A 21,124-nucleotide genomic window follows, 5' to 3' on the forward strand; every position below is an offset into this window, starting at 1 on the left:
TTTCAGGAAACCTTATCTCTGTCAACATCATATGCTTGTAGCCAAAAATGTCAAAAATTGTTTAGGGTCTGGGATTCTACCCTATTTATAAGCTGTGAAGCTAGCCTGTTACTGTTTCATGGATGCTAACATAAGATGTAAGATGCCTGGGTCCGAACCAAAGAACTGTATTACCCATGATGCAGCAAGCAGTATGAGCATGATATCAGTGAAAATTCACCTTGCCCTCCAAGTCCCTGGCAAAGGGACTGTGGATGCTCTGTATACTACGGGTTTTTTCACAGCTGAAGAGCACTGAGCTTGGGAAAGTTGCCATTTTTATAACAAAGAAAAGCAAGTCTGCTTGCATTCTATTTGTCTAGGGTGTCATTACTTCATTCCTCAAGGTTGCTAGCTACAACCCCTTCCTGAGAAATGGATGGAGTAAAGGGTAGTTCTGTTAGGGCTTTGCATTCTCAGCATATCCGGCAAGAATGTTCAGGGATATTCAGGGCTTATGGGGATTGTTTCTCCCAACACACTCCCATTCAACCTAATACCAGAGGTCCTAGGCAGTACAAGAAGGCAAGAATATAAGTAAGTCTCACATGTTTCAGGAAAAAGTAAACTATCTCTATTTGCAGACAATTGTCTATATAGAAAATACCATGGAATTCACACAAAAAACTCCCAAGACTAATATATGAATTTAGTAAAGTTGCAGGATATGAGTTCAATATGATCCTAATTACATATACTAACAATAAACAATTGGATTTTTTTAAAAAATTAGGTGCTACTTCAACAGTACTGAAGAAATAATTAAATACAAATCTAACAAAATATGTGCAGGATCTGTAGGCCAAGAACTACAAAATATTGACGAAATAAATGTAAAATGCCCTAAAAATAGTAGAGATACTATGTTCATAAGTTAGAAGACTCAATACTGTTAAGATGTCATTTCTTTCCAAACTGATCTACAGATTCTCTGCAATACCAATCAAAATAACAGCAGGACTTTTTATAGATATTGCACCCCTAAACAGAGATCAGAAGGTAGGAGTAACTGAAGAAACACTGCTGAATATACCTGGCAGAAAGACACCAGTGATTACAGTCTTTAAGAATTATTAATTAAACTCTTAAAATGCATTCATTTTCCCAAATGGATGACTCAAGTAGTATAGTGGATGTTACTGAGTTTATAGTAGAACTACAGCCTATAGTAAAACTCTGCCATTCTCAGGCTCTTTATATAAAGAATGGCAGCCTTCTTACAAAAATGTTATGTATCTAACTAGTATCAATAACAGAGCACTAGATTGTAGACAGTCAGCTATGTCCCCCAGCACAGCATAAGAGTCATAACAGCACAAAACAGGGGACTTGACACAGCTTTGTTAAATATGTAATCTAGTTGATCAATGGACTTGGCCTCAGGACACAAAATTAATTTGATTCTGCATAACTTAAGAGTAAGAGAATTATGCAAAGAAAAAAAGGAAGCAAGAGAAAAGAGAAATCAATGGGGTGATGGAGCACAAACATGGCTATTTGTGTAGTTCCTTGATGAAAATATAAGAGAAAAACATCAATAAAATCCATAATATTTAGGAAGGCAAAGAGGGATAGTAAGCAGTCAAAACAGTAAACCAGAAAACTGGACATGAAGGTAATAATTTGGACAAAGCCCCAAAGTAGACATGCCAACAGTTGTGCAACAGAGGGAGGATAAATTGTAATAATAGTCACAGGATCCAAAGTGTAGGTATGGATGGAAAAATGGCAAGAAATGCCATGTATTTACTTTTATAATGTATGTGATACTGGCAAATGACTTACAAACACAGTGTGAAAAATAAAAATGAAAAAAACGTAAATGCCCAATTTAGGTGAAGTAGGGAAGGATGGGAAAGAATGGCTTTGGATTTTCTATCTGTTAAGTGTATGCAATTCTGATGCATGTGCTTTATCAAATATAATCAGTATTCAGTTATTCTCATATAGAAAATGAATCACCAATGTTGTTGATTCTCTACGACTTCTGCTACTCCCCACTTGATGGAAGTTCAGCAGATGGTCCATTTCTATTTTTCTGATAAAGTATTTGTTGTGAAAGAAATGTAAAGTTGAGAAGCCAAATAAAATCTCTGAATTGGCATTAAAGCAAAATAAACCTTTTTTCTATGGGCTCCAGTATCAGAGAGAGTTCAAGGTTTACTACGCTAAGTATCCACTGAAAAAGGACCCTTGTCGCAATACAGCTTAAAACTGATTTTCAGCAATTAAAAATTGTTTGTACATAGATACCTTAAAATTGTTTCAAAGTACTTTCAGTTATGGTGAATTCCAATATTTCACAAAGCTGAGTTTTTATTTACAAACTCAGAGAATCTTCAAAACTGTGGCATCAGAACTAGCCACAAGCTGGGTAAGAATGATTTGATATGAATAGTACAATGTAAATATACAATAAATTACTCTGTCATAGTCACGGTTGTCAAAATTTAAGAAAACAAATACATAAAATTAGTTAGAGACTTCCCATAGGAGGAATTAAAACAGATATGCAATTAAAATATTTATAACTAAAAAGAAAAGCACGACTTTTAAAAAAGGATTTTAATTGAGCTGTATTTTGGGGTTAGAATCATATCTAGTGCTTAGTTATTATTAGGAAGTCAAACTGCTCTCCTAGGTTAGTATATAAAGGTTATATTAATTGCACAAAATATATTAAATGCACAAGTGTGAGTGTTACTACGGAAACAAGGATCTTCATAAATTGATAATCTGAAATTATTATTATTTTTTTTTTGAGACCTAGTCTCACCTTGTTGCCCAGGCTGGAGGGGTAGCGGTGCAATCGCAGCTCACTGCAATCTCTGCCACCCAGGTTCAAGCGATTCTCATTCCTCAACCTCGCGAGGAGCTGGACTAGAGGCTTGTGCCACCATGCCTAATTTTTGTATTTTTTGTAGAGACAGGGTTTCACCATGTTGGCCAGACTGGTCTCGAACTCCTGACCTCAAGTGATCCACCCGCCTCAGCCTCCCAAAGTGCTGGGATTACAGGTGAGAGCCACTGCACCCGGTCTGTAATTAATTTTTTTCATGAAAATAATATAATCTGATTCTCAATCAGTAGTTGAGATATTTGCATATTTGTTAAAAACAGGGGAAGTTGGAATTACCTTGTTAAGATTTCGGCATACCTTGTTAATCACCAATTTGTGGTTTTTAAAAAGGAAATAAAATTATACTAAGCACTGTACACAATAAAAAAAGTTTGTGATATCTTATTTATCCTTGGAGACAAGTTACTCATACAGAAAATAAAGAGCACTGTCTGTGCTCGAGCTACCATTATGGCTCAGAAACCCCAGATTTTGTTTTTTTGAAATAATCTGAATATAACTTGAAAACACTGTCTCACAAAGAGTTAAACAAAGCACAAAAATATACTTCAACAAAAGGAATCAAAGTTGACCCAAAGGATGTTTGACTTGCCAAAAGTTATATAGGTAATAAATAGCAACTAAATCTAGATTATCCAATTCTAAGTCCCAAGACCTTCATAATTTTCCAAAGAGAGAAGGCCAACCGCCTAGTACAGCGTGGTTTGCAGTTTTAACATTGACTCTGCTGCTAACTTACCTTGACCCTTTCAAGTCAGTAAATTTCTCTGTACCTTTGTTTCTTCTACTTCATGGGGATATTCTGATGATAAACATAAGCAAATACTTGAACTCTGGCAGAAAAGCACTCTGCTGTGTTAATAATCTCCTCATCCCCATCACATATTTCCACTGATGCTATGCTTTCTCTGGTCTTAGTTTTAAGCTTAAATGAATGTGTGTGCTGTGGTGTGTGTGTGTGTGTGTGTGTTTCGGTGTGTGTAAGTTTTCTTTATAAATGGCTGGCATTCTAGCAAGATCCTTTTCCCCAACTTTCAAAACGCATGAATAGCAGCACAACATTTTCATTTTTAGAATTACCAAAGCCTTGCCACCCAAAGCTGTGCAGAAGATTTTAGAAATTCACAACAAAATTTTCCACCATATTACTCTCAACTTCTATAGAAATGCAACTCACAACTCATATTGGTCAGCTATTCCCCTATAAAGATTCAACACTACCAGTGGAAGATTATAAAAATGCATACGGCTTTTCAAATAATAAGAGAATAGTTCCAATTGCAAATAAAAACCAGTATACATTTTGAAAAATGAAGGTCACTAAATATTCCTAAAATAATGGAAACAGGTGATAATTAACATTCTAACAGTTTAGCCACATGTAATGTCCTCTATTTTGTCAACAGAGTCCAGCTGTTTTATCTACTTAAGTCTAAAAGAAATTTATCCTCATCATTAAAAACAGGAACTTATTTATAGGTAACTAAAATTAACAGAAATTTAATTTTAAATATTTTAATTTTATTTTTAATATTAAATTTAATTTAAATTTAATTTAATTTAAAATTTTTAATTTAAATATTTAAATATTTAATTTTAAATATTCAGTACTTGTACCATTATTTTCATTTTGAAAATGTATCTATCTTATAATGATTTGGCTTTATAACTTATAAAGACATGTAACTTACTTTATCCTTTAAAATAATATTTTACTAACAATATTAGCGTGTAGCTACATATCATATTTAAGAAACAGCAATCTACTAAGAAATGTGCCCAGGTCAAAAATAGAATAAGCCAATTGAAATAAAATATTATAGCAAATGATCAGTATACATCTACCAAATAAAAGGGTTATGAAAGGTGAAGACCAAGTAGTAATCTCCAAAAGTAATACAATGATTACTGATTGAAGTTTTATACCCGAGACTAAGCTACTATAATGAAATGTTTAAAAAATATTTTAGGGTATTATCACCTTAGGTCAATCTGATTATTATTTTGAATGAATGAATGAATGAAATGAATGAATACCCAAATGAATGAATACTGAAGTCATGACAATGTTTAACACCTTGAGATGCTCACAACAATTTGGAATACCCAGAGAAGATGACTTGAATACAAACAAACTATTTAAAATTCACTGTGGCTCACAGTAAAGATGCAGTGGGTTTCTATTTGTAGAACAAAGAATCTCAATCAAAAACCTATATATGACTAAAATATTCTCAAATGCAATTATCAAGGCTTTAGAAAGCATATATACTTTTTACTATGTAATTCTTTCCTGTTCCCCCACCTCCCTGCATTTTTTTTTAATGTTTGGCATAAGTGACCAACAAACCAGAATAGAATACACATTTTTAAAATACTAATTTACACATATTCTATTTAAGAACAACATACAACCACTCATAAATTTAGCCTTTTTAAAAGTGTCCTTTATATAAAACAGTGGGGAGCGGGGGAAATCCCTGCTATACATATGAAGCACAGTTTAAGCCCAATACAACTGACCAATCAAAATTAGTGAATACACTGCATCTCTCTGCAGTGGAGAGAAGCGACAAGGTAGGCTGTCATTCTGCAAAAGCTGCCCGAACAGGCTTTCCTCTGAAAAGCAGTGCCGTTCCTTTTTAGAAAGACTGAATCTAAATGTTGTCTCTGGAGACAAGAAGCCTTCAGTATGTTAAATTACTTTCATTATGTATTTTCAGATGCTTATTGATTCCACAGTAGGAAGAGTGAGAGACTGCAGCAGCCTCTAAGCAGCACTACATGTTCCATACATTAGCAGTACTGCTGAAACAATGGCACACTACAGACACATATTTTCATTAAGGTCATTTTCGAAGAGATGTTTATGACCCTCTTCCCCCAGTCCTCTACTAACAAGTGAACAAAATGAATCAATCCAAACTGGAAATGCTTCAACTACATCAAGAATTTATCAAATCTTTAGCAGAGGTAAGATTTGTTCCTATTATAGTATACAGCTGCTTTTGAACCGGCATAGTGGGGTAAAAATTACTTTGAAAAATTTCAGCCTAAATTTTAAGAGTTTGTTTAATTCTACTTATTGCTAGACATGTATTTTAAGATCTATTTCTTTTAAGACATGCTACATTTTAAATGTAATTTTTTAGGATGCATTGTTAAATACAAATATTCTTTGTAAATTCATTATGAAGACAGCTTTTGAGTCACTTCAGATATACTAAATATTCTTAATGTAATCAGTACAGTTTTTCTCCAGTGTTTCAAAAATGCTTCTGTTTCTTAAAAGAACTAGGTTTACTATTTTGCTGTTACTTATTACTTAATTTTATGTTAAGTTTATTATTTGGCATGTTCACTGAAAATTAATTTGCAGTTACAATTTTTATTACCTTTTGTATTTCAACCACATGAACAATTCATCAATGGAAATTTATAGTATCTTATGAAATCTGTTTTAATGAGTTAAAATTCAAACCATGTGCTAATAATTAGGCAAGTTACAATATTTTTAGAGCAAAAAATGTTGTTAAATTTATTACAAAGAAGAAATAACAGTATGTTTAGTGTATGCTAATTGTTCATCATCTCTGAAAATACAGGTTAGCTTCTAAAATGAGAGCAGAAATTAGTTTTAAAAAATATAGCTTTTCTCTCACAATTGTATTTGAAATGTGAACTCTATTGTTAAATAACATAATATATACAATCTTTATTAGGAAAAAAGACTTATTTAAAGAAACAATTTTATGCATATAGCTGTGGCTCTAATAATAACAGTTTGGTTATTTTGATAACAAATACTGGATAGTTTTTAAACAAAACTAAAGTAACTTGCAATTAATTACAAATTATTAAAAACCCTATTTCTTAACCAATTTTCTTCTTTTCACAAGGGCCAATAGCAGCTAATTCAGTATTTACAACTGACAATATGAAGAATGCAATTGACTGAGCATCTCCCTAGCTGTCTGAACTACGAACTGCAAGATGTTCTTGTAACACGACTTTAAGACATTAAGGAGTTAAAACCAGGGAATAGGTCTACATTACTGATGGAATATAAAAAATCAACTGTATCCTAAGAAGATGCTACATAAAATAACCACAAAAAGAAAAACAATATAACTGTAAAAGCCTGAAAAGAATTTTTAAAAGGGGAAGTTTATACTTTCATATACCAGAATTGTGGAAGTTACTGATTCTGGAAGACATAATGAAACATGAATTTCCAAAAAGAAAAGAAAATACTTTATCAGCACACAAAAGGAAGATTTAGGAAGTGTTTTCTGCACTAAATATTCAGATATTCATATCAATTGGTATGACTAATGGATTTTTCTATCTGACTTTTATGACCAATTATGTATCCTCTTCTAATGAAAACAAACAAAATTAAACAGCAGATGGTTTTTATCAAAAGGACATGGCCTGGATTTATAATATAAAGCAAGTTATGTGATCAAGAAATCATTTCAAAATAGTGAGCACTGCTATTAAAAACAGATTTACAATGGTAACAAAAGGATGTCTAAATATATTTTAGAAGCTACAAACGTTATGTTTCCTTTTTTGTTTTCACATATTCTGGAAAATAAAGAAATATTATCATGTACTCCATCAAAGGGAAACATAATTCCTATCATCTGAGGAAATTCCTCTTGGCCGTGACTTTTTAAAGCAAAACAAATACAAATATTATGTACTGTTCTTTAGAAATCCATCAGCCAACTAAATCTCATAATGCATGCAGTTGAAGTATTGGAGAGAAAACGAAAGAATTCCTACAAGACATGAAATAAAACACAGCTACTTCACTGTTGTCAGGTAAAAATTCATGTCAAAATCTGTCAATGATATCATGTATCAATTTGCCAAAAACTGTCATAGTGAACCAAAAGGCCCATAAGGCAACAGCAAACAGGTAGGTCAGAAGATGCATGCACCCCACCACACTGTTTAACATTTACGAAAGAACAGAATCTTGCTCTAGAGAAAATGTATTTTTCTTAATCATCATTTAACTTGACATTTCTGCTTTATTTAATTATAAATCTAACTGATGTGACAAAGACCTGATGTTTAATCTGTCAGTTCAGAAAATTTGGCACACTTAAAATTTTCCATTTTTATAGGATTTCAATGTTAGCTAAGACCTTAACTTACTCGAATAAATATACCTCTAGTAATACTTCATACTAATTCAAAAGAAATAATGTTACCATTTGTGTTTCTGCAATATTATTCCCAAAAAAGTTCATAAATAAAACTGTATTCTAAAACTTGTCAAATATAACATTAAGTGAAAGTTAACATGAATTTTGAAAATTATTAGCTTTTATAATTTATGTTGAATATGATTTTGCAGTTGAAATGCTGTATTTGAAATGTGAAATATAGTTGGTTGTATGAGTTCATATTTTAAAATGAATATACTGATTAACTGACATTTTAGCCCAGAACATTAGACATTATTTTTTACAAATTATTCTAAACCCCTATATATTAAAATATAGATTTGCATGAATTAGCAAAAGCGTTTGTATTTTTTTTTAATTTTTCTTCAAAATTAGACAATGGGTGATATATACAAAAGGCTTCACAGGTAATGTGTAACTTTAAAAGCTTCCTCAAAAAACGGGCTTCACATACTCCTTTTCCCTAAAATTTCATCTTTTACTTTAAAAACTCAGTTTAAACAATGTCAACTGATATATTCCTTTAAACTACTTCAAAAATGGCTATTTCTTAATGTGATATTAAATTTCAATTTTCTGTTTCCACAAGATACAAGAGGGTGTGGTCACAAAATAAATCATTTCATAGGAGTGATTAATGCTCTTTTACCAAGCTTTGTAGCTTTTTATTTTAGCATAATGTCCCACTTCTTCTAATTTTTAAGTTTGCCAACTGCAAAGTTCAGTGAGCATTGTAACTGTGATATGTAAAATATTAATCACTGGCCTATTTCTGTGGGAAATAACCCCAAATATCACCAAGCACATTGTTGACTTCTGAATATGAATTCAATCAACATGGATAAAGCATCTTAAACTAGTGCTCTGTACCATTTGTCATTTTAAATGAACACTTGTCCTGTTCATTTGAAATCTCACAGGAATAATTACACCTACACTCATTATGCTAGAGCATATTAAAATAGCATTCATTTGGTACCTACTCACAACATTTAAATGAAATTTTAAGACACTGGGCTGAAATTAATTTTGTATGCTAGGAAGTTTTATCATACAAAAATACACTTTATCTCAAATAATAAGCTTGAAATACTCAAATGAGAAAAGCCCTTTAGCATATTAACTTTGCACTACAGAGGAACAATTTCCATAGTTATTTCTTCAAAAGGAAAACACAATTTTCTTTTATATCAAAACAATGCAAACTTGATGGTTCTTAATTCTACATTTTCTATTAATAGTTTACAAACTTAAAAATTAAACTAAGTACACAATTGAAAGATTTTTTTTCTTACAAAGAACACGTTATACGTCATTTAAATTGCCAAATATCAAATAGTTTATTCTATTTCACTTTCTAGGGAAAAAAACCAACTGCTCCAAAAGAATGTGTTTTTCTCCCATTCTGGAAATCAACATGCAGTCTGAATCTAACATTACAGTGCGAGATGACATTGATGACATCAACACCAATATGTACCAACCACTATCATATCCGTTAAGCTTTCAAGTGTCTCTCACCGGATTTCTTATGTTAGAAATTGTGTTGGGACTTGGCAGCAACCTCACTGTATTGGTACTTTACTGCATGAAATCCAACTTAATCAACTCTGTCAGTAACATTATTACAATGAATCTTCATGTACTTGATGTAATAATTTGTGTGGGATGTATTCCTCTAACTATAGTTATCCTTCTGCTTTCACTGGAGAGTAACACTGCTCTCATTTGCTGTTTCCATGAGGCTTGTGTATCTTTTGCAAGTGTCTCAACAGCAATCAACGTTTTTGCTATCACTTTGGACAGATATGACATCTCTGTAAAACCTGCAAACCGAATTCTGACAATGGGCAGAGCTGTAATGTTAATGATATCCATTTGGATTTTTTCTTTTTTCTCTTTCCTGATTCCTTTTATTGAGGTAAATTTTTTCAGTCTTCAAAGTGGAAATACCTGGGAAAACAAGACACTTTTATGTGTCAGTACAAATGAATACTACACTGAACTGGGAATGTATTATCACCTGTTAGTACAGATCCCAATATTCTTTTTCACTGTTGTAGTAATGTTAATCACATACACCAAAATACTTCAGGCTCTTAATATTCGAATAGGCACAAGATTTTCAACAGGGCAGAAGAAGAAAGCAAGAAAGAAAAAGACAATTTCTCTAACCACACAACATGAGGCTACAGACATGTCACAAAGCAGTGGTGGGAGAAATGTAGTCTTTGGTGTAAGAACTTCAGTTTCTGTAATAATTGCCCTCCGGCGAGCTGTGAAACGACACCGTGAACGACGAGAAAGACAAAAGAGAGTCTTCAGGATGTCTTTATTGATTATTTCTACATTTCTTCTCTGCTGGACACCAATTTCTGTTTTAAATACCACCATTTTATGTTTAGGCCCAAGTGACCTTTTAGTAAAATTAAGATTGTGTTTTTTAGTCATGGCTTATGGAACAACTATATTTCACCCTCTATTATATGCATTCACTAGACAAAAATTTCAAAAGGTCTTGAAAAGTAAAATGAAAAAGCGAGTTGTTTCTATAGTAGAAGCTGATCCCCTGCCTAATAATGCTGTAATACACAACTCTTGGATAGATCCTAAAAGAAACAAAAAAATTACCTTTGAAGATAGTGAAATAAGAGAAAAATGTTTAGTGCCTCAGGTTGTCACAGACTAGAGAAAAGTCTCAGTTTCACCAAATCCACATTCAAATGAGTTTTAAATTTAAATTGTAAAAACTGATATTACTGCCAAATATAAGAAAAATATTTTAAGTATTGGTTATGTTGTAAATTTTCAATGTGAATGTCAATTAGATAGGTCATATATATTCAATTTCTTCATTACTTAATGTATTTGTTGCATGGCAGTTTGTTAAAGTACTATCATGTGTATATTTTGTCAATATTATGTCCAACAGAAAATATTCATGTAAGTCATATTTTTTAAGGAATAAATACATAGCCTTAAAACAGTGTATAACTTTAAAATGTAACTGACATAGGTATCCTTGCTTTATTTTTTAAGTTAAAATGCATTGTTTCTAAGCCACAAACTACAGATATATTTAGATTACAACTGGAGTAGCATTTTAATCTAAAAACCAAAATTATGGGCTCAAAACAATCCAGTATTTTCCATACCACTATGCTATGTTTCCTGGTATAGTGTATTTGCTATATTTGATGCATCACAAATAATTAAGTACGTATGAAGCTTTATTCTTTTAAATGTAAAAAATCATAGAATTTATCAAAATTTTAAAATTAATGAACCAAAAAAACCTCTGTATACACACCAAAATAGAGAAACTTTAAAATTCATGCTTACTAGGAAAAAAAAGATTGATTTTCTAAGTTCAAGGACAGTATGCCTATAATATACAAATGAAATGAAACTAAAGGGAAGGAAGAATACTAAAACACCAGCCTCTTTCTTCCTTCCTCACTTTGCTTAAGTCTAAGCCAAATGCTCTGGATTAATATAGTGCAATGATTTTAAAAAAAAAAAAAAAAAAAAAAAGAACAGTACATCAAAATAAGCTGACTTCCTAACTTTATTCAACTCAGCTCTTTTGTATAATAGAAAGTTAACTACCCAAATCTGAATACCAGGAATGAAAAAAAAAAGACTTTAAATCATTATAGAAAAGTCTAACAAAGCCTCTAATATTAGATACATACAACTTTAGGGTAATACACTTTATACAATGTTCCCACCAAATCATAGCTCCCAAGTAATTCAAAATGAGTTGTTTTATTTCCACACTGAAATCACTAAGGTAACAATAAGTCTTGTCACTTTTCTACCGTACCATCACTTAATTTAACTTTAGGCATTTTTCTCTCCCACCCTCAATTCATGTGGGAAAATCATGAAATTACTAACCCTAACTACAGATTACAAGAATTGGGAACCTCATATCAAACAAATATTTTCCAATTGTTATAATGTAATAATCTATCGATAAGTGTCAATATCACTATCAGAAATTTAGCAATAAGTTATTTAAAATAGGAAAATACTGCATTGTAATTGGTCAGCTGAACAACTTTTATTCTATTTTCTGAAACTGTATCCACTAAACCAAGTAGCAATTCATTTTTAAAGAAAATATTAAATGTCTAAAAATTCAATAATATATCACTTTTATATAAATAAATGAGATTTATCCAGTCTAGTTTACTGAATACCCTAATCCTTGGAGAAATGAATACCATGCAGTAGCTTGAACTCACTAAGGTTACATGACAAATTAAATAGTAATTTACTTCTGATAATAATGTTAACATAATGTCAAATCTTGGCAAAAGCCCAATTTCCTTCTGTCTTATTTTCTACTGTTTTTTGGAATTTAAAAAAATGCTTCAATTTGACAAAATGTAGCATAAGCAAGTAAGATATTTTTTGAAACCCCAAAGAGAAATTAACACTTCAGGCACAAAAGGATTAAGAAAATTTTCGTTTAGTAAATACATTTGGCACAGACCAGCTCCTAATCTTCTTTTATTTTTTACCCCAGGAAATAAAACAAGCTCATTAATATCTTCATTTAAGAATTTAAAAAATGAATTTTATAATTGGACTCCCAAGCATAAATTAAAATTTTAATATCTAGTTTTATAATCTCAATAAAAATTAGACTATTTTTAGAACCTTCATATTAAGAAAAACTCCCTTGTGTTTTAAATATTTTTACTCTTCAGGTTTATAACTATGCCAAAGAACTCAGTATAAAAAAGAGATTTCTAATATATTTGTCTAAACTGCTTTCATGCCTTCTTGTCCTCTGTAATAAGAAATTAAATAAGAAATAAATGGTAAATATTATATTGCCCTTTAAACTGCTATCATTTCTATACTTGACACTGAAGCAGACATTTAACAAGCATTGTTGACCATCCGTAATGATCTTTCAGGTATACAAAAGTGCATCAACTGATTTACGACAAAGAAAACTCATACCTATCAGAAAACTTCTAACAGCTTTTTAATGTGCTAAGTAGTATATAATATGTAAACCAAAATAATATGTGTTAAAAATTTAGCTTCAAGAACAAGTCACAACTATGTTTCCAACTACTGACCTCAGCTTAAATGTGAGAATGAGAAGCTTAGACAACTTTTTGTATTAAACATCTGTTCTATGAAAAGACGAAATATTTCTATTTTCTTTACGTTGGTCTTCATTACAATGTGTGAATTTTTCACTTTATTTCAAATAATTTTGCTCAAAAAAGCATTAAGGCTAATTCTTCCTGTTAGAATGAAAAAATTAAAAATGCAAAAGCAATAGAGGCAACAATAAACTCAATATGGGACCTTTCTTCAGACTAAATTTTTCTATCCATATATCATAAATCATAGGCATAGATATCAATTTCTACATAGTTAATTGGGTCAGTTCTTCCAAAGGATAAGAAGCCCTTAGTAGCCCTTAGTAGGGCTTATTCCGCATAGTATTTTAAATACCAACCAAAGATGAGCTCAACAAGATGTGGTAAATTTTATTTGCTTTGTTTTGTGTGTTAATTTAAGGGAGCTGTTACTCTACCAACTACTACTGAACAAATGTTCAAACTTATTGTGAAGGTAGAATTATTTATAATTATATGTCTTTTAAAAGGGCCATTCATGATAATTCTGTACTTCTGACCCAAGTCAATTTTTAGTTGTATGTTCTATTCTTTCATCCTTTAACTAAAATAACAGTAGTCTCCCCTTATCCATGGTTTTACCTGCTGCAGTTTCAGTTACCCATGGTCAGTTAGCATGGTCAACTCTGTGGTCCAAAAATATTAAATGGAAAATTCCAGAAATAAACAATTTATAAGTTTTAAATTGTTATATTTAAACTTATTTATAAATTTATGTATAATTGTACTACTTTATTATTAGTTGTTGTTATAGCCTACTGTGCCTAATATATGAATTAAACTTTATCATAGTTATGTATGTATAGGAAAAAAACATAGTACATGATATACTATATATAGGGTTCAATACTATCCATAGTTTCAGACATCCTCTGGTGGTCTTGGGATGTATACCTGAAGATAAGGGGGGAACAAATGTGTAGCAAAATCTCAGTTCCTTGGGCATTAAAAACCAGATTCCTCATTGAACTGAAATTAGACTTAAGGGTCAAAAAATCTAAAATCATTAGAAAACAGGACCTTAGTAGGGCTTATTCCACATAGTATTTCAAGGCTACCTCCCAAAGTCAATAAAACTTTTAATTTTATTGCATTTCATGATTACACAATTAAGTAAGCTTTGTGATTCAATTAGCATTTAAAATCTTACAGAAAAGAGGCATTTTGGCAGATACTTTGAATTATATGAAAGAGTCATTACCCTCAAGAGCTTAAAATCTAGAGTCAAGGTATTAAAAAGTATGGCATTACCTAAAATCAGAGGTAGATGTGGTAAATACTATAAAAGAAGAATAAAGTTCTTAATAGACTTTAGAAGAAAGGGATCATGTTGAATTTAAGAACAGTAAAAAGAAAAACATTGCTGAATAAAGCTGCTGCAGCATATTCTGGAAGAGCAAATTGTTCTTTGGAAGAAAGGTAATACAGTAGCGAGAAGTTATCTAGAAAGTTAAATTTGGGTCATAAGACAGAAAGCCTTCTATCTTATGCTAGAAGAGGTATCTGAGCAGGGGAATTACAAGGTGAAAAAATGAGCTTCAAAAAAACAAATAAAGCAGCAATACACAGAATTGATGAGACACAGAAGATAGGAAGCTGCTGCCATCACCTTCATAGCTAGTGAAAGGCCTGGCAAAAAGTGATGGCACTAGCTTGACAAGGGAGTGTACAGATGTGACAGGCAACGTGAAGGCAGAGTCAATATTTACTAACTAGCTAGGAAAGAAAACTGGCATAAGAGACTGAAGAATTAAAAATGATGACCATAAGGAAGACCATAAGAAACAGATTACCCGCAATACTCAAATAACTATTTAATTATGCTTTGCATAAATTACATTGATAACACAGGCAAAAACAAAAAGAATATCTGGCAAGGCGGAAAACTCAATGAAGTAAAATAACATTAAATAATGTTCTAGTTATTAGAAGCTATTCAGAATGAAAATTTCGAATTGACGTTTTAAATTATCTATTTTATATATTTTTCAATTGGTTCATTCCATTTTTCCATTAAACACATATTTTCTAACAACTATTTTAACTATAAAAATACACAGTGAGAAAATACCAATGTATATGAAGTGAAACACACAAATGTCATCCTTTGCTTTTTTCCCTGAATAACTTATTATGGGCATCCATCCAACTCTTTATAAACATATCGTCCTCATTCTTTGTTAATGGCTACATAAAAACAGTTTTTAATTAAAATGTTTTAAAATAGCAACATTTCTAAAGGATAATAGTAATGAAAGGGCAAATAAAGCTTTTTCTGTCCATTTAAGTGGCTTCAAACTGTATTTCAAAATCATGTTAGAAAATTCACATTTTCAGTTTCAATTAAAAATTAAAATTTTTAATAGCCAAGTTACCTTTGGCAACTGAGAAGGTTATATTTCAGAATGACGGCAAGAAGCAATGGGAAAACCATAAAATAATGTATTTCTTTTATCCTTTTCACTAAATAAGATGAGAAATAAGAAAACTAAAGTAAACTTTGACCAACTATTTTCTTTGTATCTCAGATGAGCACTTGTATGTACTCATGAATGTAAGCCCCCACTCAGGGACTGCAGTGAACTCTAAGAAAGTTAAAAATGAGTTGACCAATAATAAATGTTAGAAATTTTAAAAGTTCAGATCATATCGTAAAAGAGAAAGTAAGGAGATAAAAGAACCCAGATGAGGCTGGAAAAAGACCTAAAATATTCAAAGATGCTAAGCTCTTAGAGAAATACGAATAGAATACAGAATTGTAGGTTAGAGCTCACAAAAGAAAACTAATTTGAAGATTGACTTTTTTCTAAAAAGCATTCGAAAAAGCAAAAGACACCCCCATTGACAGGCTGCACATACTAGAAATATAACAACAAACAATGCATCATAACAAGCAGAATAAATATTAAATATTACAATTTACAGATATTTAGAACAAAATGGCATTGAAATGTGGAAACAAATGGAAAAGTGGGCTTACCACTAATACAAAAGCCATAACTTTTAAGAAATACTCATTTTTTTCAGGACAAAAAGAGCCAAGTGAACGTAATCACAATAATATTTCTTCCCTTGCTCATATTAAAACAACATGTGAAAATAATCCTACGTGTCTCTCCCATTCTATTCATACATTTTCTACAGGCCTCCATAAGCTGTATCCATGGCTTTCAAATATGACAGCTTTGTACTTGCACCAGCAAGTGGTAAAATGTGCTGTCATTCCTGTCACTGACACCAATATCAACTCCCTGCCACTATCAAACCCCGAAGCATCAAGTAAGATAAGGGAGGTGAGCTAAGTCTGTCTGGGATTGAGGTCATTTTCATCACCCTGCTTCCATGAGAGCAATATGTCATATTTTTCTCAGAGGTATTAAGCAAGGCAGACTACCAAAGCACATCAACCAATTTCTCAGGATGAAGAGAGAAAGTGGCTAGCGAGGATGACAAGGTTATGGGGAAACTGCTTTTCCCTCAGACAGCTGTGGACACATAATACTCATAAGATTTGAAAAATTAAAATTTAAATTTAATATAAAATTTTAAAATATTAATGCTAACAAATGAGAGCACTGGCCATATTAAACGTAGACTGTAGGAGTGAGAAATACATATGGGACTGTAGTGAGGTAATAATTATATATTAACATATTTATACTTCAATCAGCCAGTAATATTACACACAATCCCATACGTCATATACTATAAACTGAGTACACTGGTTGGGTATACTGCATATTGATTGGGTAAAGAAGAATCAAAGATATATATTTCATCCAAAATATTGCTAATGCCTTAGGACAGGTTGAAATATAAAATATCAAATTTACATACTCTGTACTTTAAAAGTCTCACTCTCAATTCTTAAAAAGCTTTGTCTTTTCTTTTGCTGTTAAATTTTTTCCAACTATCACTTCTTATAAACAACAAAATGCTAGCAAACTGTAGCTACCTACTTTATAAAAACTGTCTTAAATGCACACAATACAATAACAGTTGGTAATACTAATGTACTTTCGCACTACTTTTATAATACCTTTATACTGCTTTTATAATGCCTCCCAAAAAAGTACCTGATACATACTGACTGGTAAGTAAATATTAGTGGAATTGAAAACAAATTTTTAACCTCAGACCCTATTGTTGTATCTTGTTTAGAAGGTTGTTTCTCAAAATGTAGTCCACCTCTATCAGAGATTCTGTGGTACTTTTTAAAATGCCAATTCCTGGGCCCCATCTCTGACTCTCTGACTTACTGAGTCAGAATCTCTGAGGTTGCAGTCCTGAAAAAAAAATCTTTTTTTTTTTGGTGGGGGAGACAGGGACTCGCTCTCTCACCCAGGTTGGGGTGCAGTGGTACAATCATGGCTCACTGCAGCCTCGAACTCTTGAGGCTCAAGCGATTCTCACACCTCAGCCTCCTGAGTAGCCCGGACTACAGGCAGGCACCACCATACCCAGCTAATTAAAAAAAAAAATTTTGTAGAGACAGGGTCTCATTATGTTGCCCAGGCTGGTCTCAAACTCCTGGTCTCAAGCAATCCTCCCGCCTTGGCCTCCCAAAGTTCTGGGATTACAGGTGTGAGCCACCAAGCCCAACCAATATATATTCTAATAAGTACTCTCAGGTGATTTGTGTGCTGACGTTTAACAATTACTACTTTAGATATCAGAAGACAGACTATGTATCAAGGTGATATTCAGGTAATAAATGAAAAGGCACAGAAGCAGCTCTTAATTCAGACTGTACTGCCTTCTTGAAAAAAAACTCCTCCATTTACTTCATTTTAACTGATTAAATTTTAGTTGGATTATATATACTATAATCCAGTACTACATTAGATTTCTAAGAAATATAATGTTGTTTCTTTAAACAAGGTTATCTAGACAAAAGTTTCCTTTAAAAACCATATACTCTCAGAAGATAAAATGCTATCAAACACAAAACATTCACCATAAACTGTTATGTACTTCACTCAACCATACTACTCAATTAATTATAAAATTGCATGGCTACTATTTTTCATAAAATTCTTACTCAAACCAGAAGTACTATTCTTGCACATTTTTGTTCATTTCACTATAAAACTTCCGCTAAAACATAACTGACATAAAAGAATTACTTCTAAAATAAACTTGCAGTGAAAATACTTACAAATTGTATTTTGTATGTTTTGAAGAAATGCCATTCAGGTTAGGTAGAGGTTTGAATCAAACATTTTTCTTTTGCTGTTATTATTTACTTTGTACCATTAATGCAATTTAGTAAACAGCAACCTAATCTTTGATAATTTTATGACATCCTTTAAATTCCTATTCTGTATTATAATAGTTTAGGTAACACTGATACTTGATAAATGCCGCAAATGGTATTACGGAAACACTACTCTAGGAACATTTCTTATTAACCCTTTCACTAAGAACTTTTTCCAACCACATCGATATTATCTTTTGTTATTACTTTTGGTTTTTAGTATTTTCATTGATTTAATCATGAAACTAACCTATCACAACTTATTGAAAATGAGCATTATTGAAAATCAGCTGCTAGTGAATACAACTTAAAGACACAAAGACAAGGCTGGGCATGGTGGCACATGCCTGTAATCTCAGCACTTTGGGAGGCTGAGGTGGGTGGATCACCTGAGGTTGGGAGTTCGAGACCAGCCTGACCAACATGGAGAAACCTGTCTCTACTAAAAATACAAAATTAGCCGGGTGTGGTGGTGCATGCCTGTAATCCCAGCTACTTGGGAAGCTGAGGCAGGAGAATCGCTTGAACCTGGGAGGCAAAGGTTGTGGTGAGCCAAGATCGCACCATTGCACTCCAGCCTGGGAGGCAACAAGAGCAAAACTGCATCTAAAAAAAAAAAAAAAGATACAAAGACCATAACTCAATAATTCAGGTGACTGAATATGGCCACGTTATAGAAAAATATTTGCCAAGTAATATATTCCAGATAAACAGTGGCTTTAGTATAGGGTTTCCTAGAGTCTCATAAAGTACCCTAAATCAGATGCAAAATGTCACGGGTATGGTTATACATTTTTTTTTTTCCTAGAACAAAGATTCACAAATTCAGTAAGATCCTCCAAAGAGTATGTAATCCAAAACTAAAATAAAAATCATCATCAGTGTTAGGAAGAAAGCAGGGAAGCAAAACTGGTAAATGTTAGATATAATTTTATTTATATATATCCTCCCTTATCCTAAAGATAATATAAAATAACTTTAGCATTTTATTTTTCTTTTTTGAGACAAGGTCTCACTAGGTTGCCCAGGCTGGCCTTGTACTCCTGGGTTCAAGCAATCCTCCCTGCTCAGCCTCTCGAGTGGCTGGGGTGACAGGCGTGCACCAACGCTACCAGCAAGATGACTTTAAGAATTTTAGACACAACTGAACTAAATGAAAAAATAATAAAATCAGAGCAAACAGCATGAAAAGAATGAAACAATACTTGTATCATTAAGTCCTGTATTCTTACAAGAGGTGAGCCACAAATTGCTCCTTATGATTTCTTTTTAATTTTTATTTTAGGCTCTTTCTTTGAATTCTACATACTTTCTACTAGGTCATTTAAACAGGGAAAAGGAGCTGATTACATGTCTCAGCATTGGTAAGATTAAAAACTCCCTAGATGCTCAGTAGAAGTACAAACTATTGGTACTAAGACCAGAGAGCAGTGACTCTCATGGGCCTTACCATGTCTCTATGGGTCTTCTCAATGTTTTCCACAACTATATATTCCACAACTATATACACTTAATGATACCTTAAGTCTCACATGGTTGTTTCTTATATCCCTCAATGTATAACACTGGCCACAACAACCTTATAGAAAAGGCAACAAGAAGTCTCACATAGCTAATGATTATAGTTTTCCTCAATGTACAATAATAACATCAAACTAAAGTGAAATTAAGTAAAAAGAATTAGATGGGAATGGTTGTCTAGGTATAAAACCCTCTGCAACTCTGGTTTAATCCAGGGATAGATTCTTGAATGTTAAAACAGTGGATTTGAATCATTTCGTAACACACCTAAGAGGTCAATCAGACTGTGTAGAAAGAGGAGGGTAGTACCTCCAACTGAAAAGAAGACAAGTGTCTTAAAAACAAAAATGGCCTCTAGGTTTTCTAGTACAGTTACCTTCTCCTTCCCTTACCCCACGACCTTCAGAGATTCACTAATTAAGAGAAATGGAGCATGGACTGATAACCTTCAGAAATACCTTCCATAAATATTCTCTCTCAACAAAATTAGGGAAAATAATTGACAGAGAAATGGTTAAGTGCAGAACAAAAACTTGAATAGCCACCAGAGCTGAAGCGAAGACTAAAATCTCGAGAATGCCACTCTGTTTTGTGCAGAGGTTGCTGTTACCAAATTCTGAAATAAGCTAAAGAACTGAACTTTCATTAACTAATTTTAAGAAAAGTCTACTTTGCCTGAAATTTCTGATCCTCAAAACTGATGATTTGATTCAAAGATACAGTTAGAGCATACAATAAGAGCTAACTGTGTTCTGAACTACATGATAAAAGACACTACACAAATGTTTTATCACCATTGTCAAATACAAGAAATAAGACAATTTTAAATACAATTATTCTTCTATGGGTACTATTTATATTAACACATATGCTTACCAATTTTACAATGTAACTAGCTTCTCAAACTACATAAATGTTTCTAAAAACTTAGTGAATAACATGTCACAGAATCTAGTGACACAAATACACCAGACTAAATTGTCTGACAACAGTAATCATAAATCCCAGTTACTATAGTATACAAGTCTTTTATCTTGTAAGCACTGAAAAAAATTATAAAAGCACTTTTAAAGGGTCC

At 32.3% G+C, this 21,124-nt stretch overlaps 2 protein-coding genes across 13 annotated transcripts in view, besides 1 other annotated feature; one reads left to right on the plus strand and one right to left on the minus strand.

Annotated features, from left to right (window-relative positions):
• COG5 (component of oligomeric golgi complex 5) overlaps nt 1-21,124 on the minus strand; it is a 362,549-nt gene that overhangs the window by 263,202 nt on the left and 78,223 nt on the right. The gene's annotated exons all lie outside the window — the stretch shown is intronic.
• On the plus strand, nt 5,484-13,272 carry GPR22 (G protein-coupled receptor 22). 3 transcript variants are annotated; one of them, XM_011516056.4, is made up of 3 exons: nt 5,484-5,872; nt 6,799-7,826; nt 9,462-11,111. In XM_011516056.4, exon 3 carries the CDS (start codon nt 9,488-9,490, stop codon nt 10,787-10,789), a length of 1,302 nt encoding a protein of 433 aa, XP_011514358.1. In that variant the 5' UTR covers nt 5,484-5,872; nt 6,799-7,826; nt 9,462-9,487; the 3' UTR covers nt 10,790-11,111. The 3 variants fall into 3 exon arrangements, with proteins under 3 accessions (XP_011514358.1, NP_005286.2, XP_047276170.1); NM_005295.3 differs by having other exon boundaries at nt 6,799-7,729; XM_047420214.1 differs by having other exon boundaries at nt 6,799-13,272.
• Nucleotides 14,797-14,997: a silencer, noted in NCBI's record as "peak6680 fragment used in MPRA reporter construct". NCBI's record gives its function as "represses an SCP1 promoter by STARR-seq MPRAs in K562 erythroleukemia cells {active_cell/tissue: K562}" and the evidence as "EXISTENCE:reporter gene assay evidence [ECO:0000049][PMID:32103011]".

Source organism: Homo sapiens, chromosome 7, assembly GCF_000001405.40.
Source record: "Homo sapiens chromosome 7, GRCh38.p14 Primary Assembly".
NCBI lineage: Eukaryota > Metazoa > Chordata > Mammalia > Primates > Hominidae > Homo > Homo sapiens.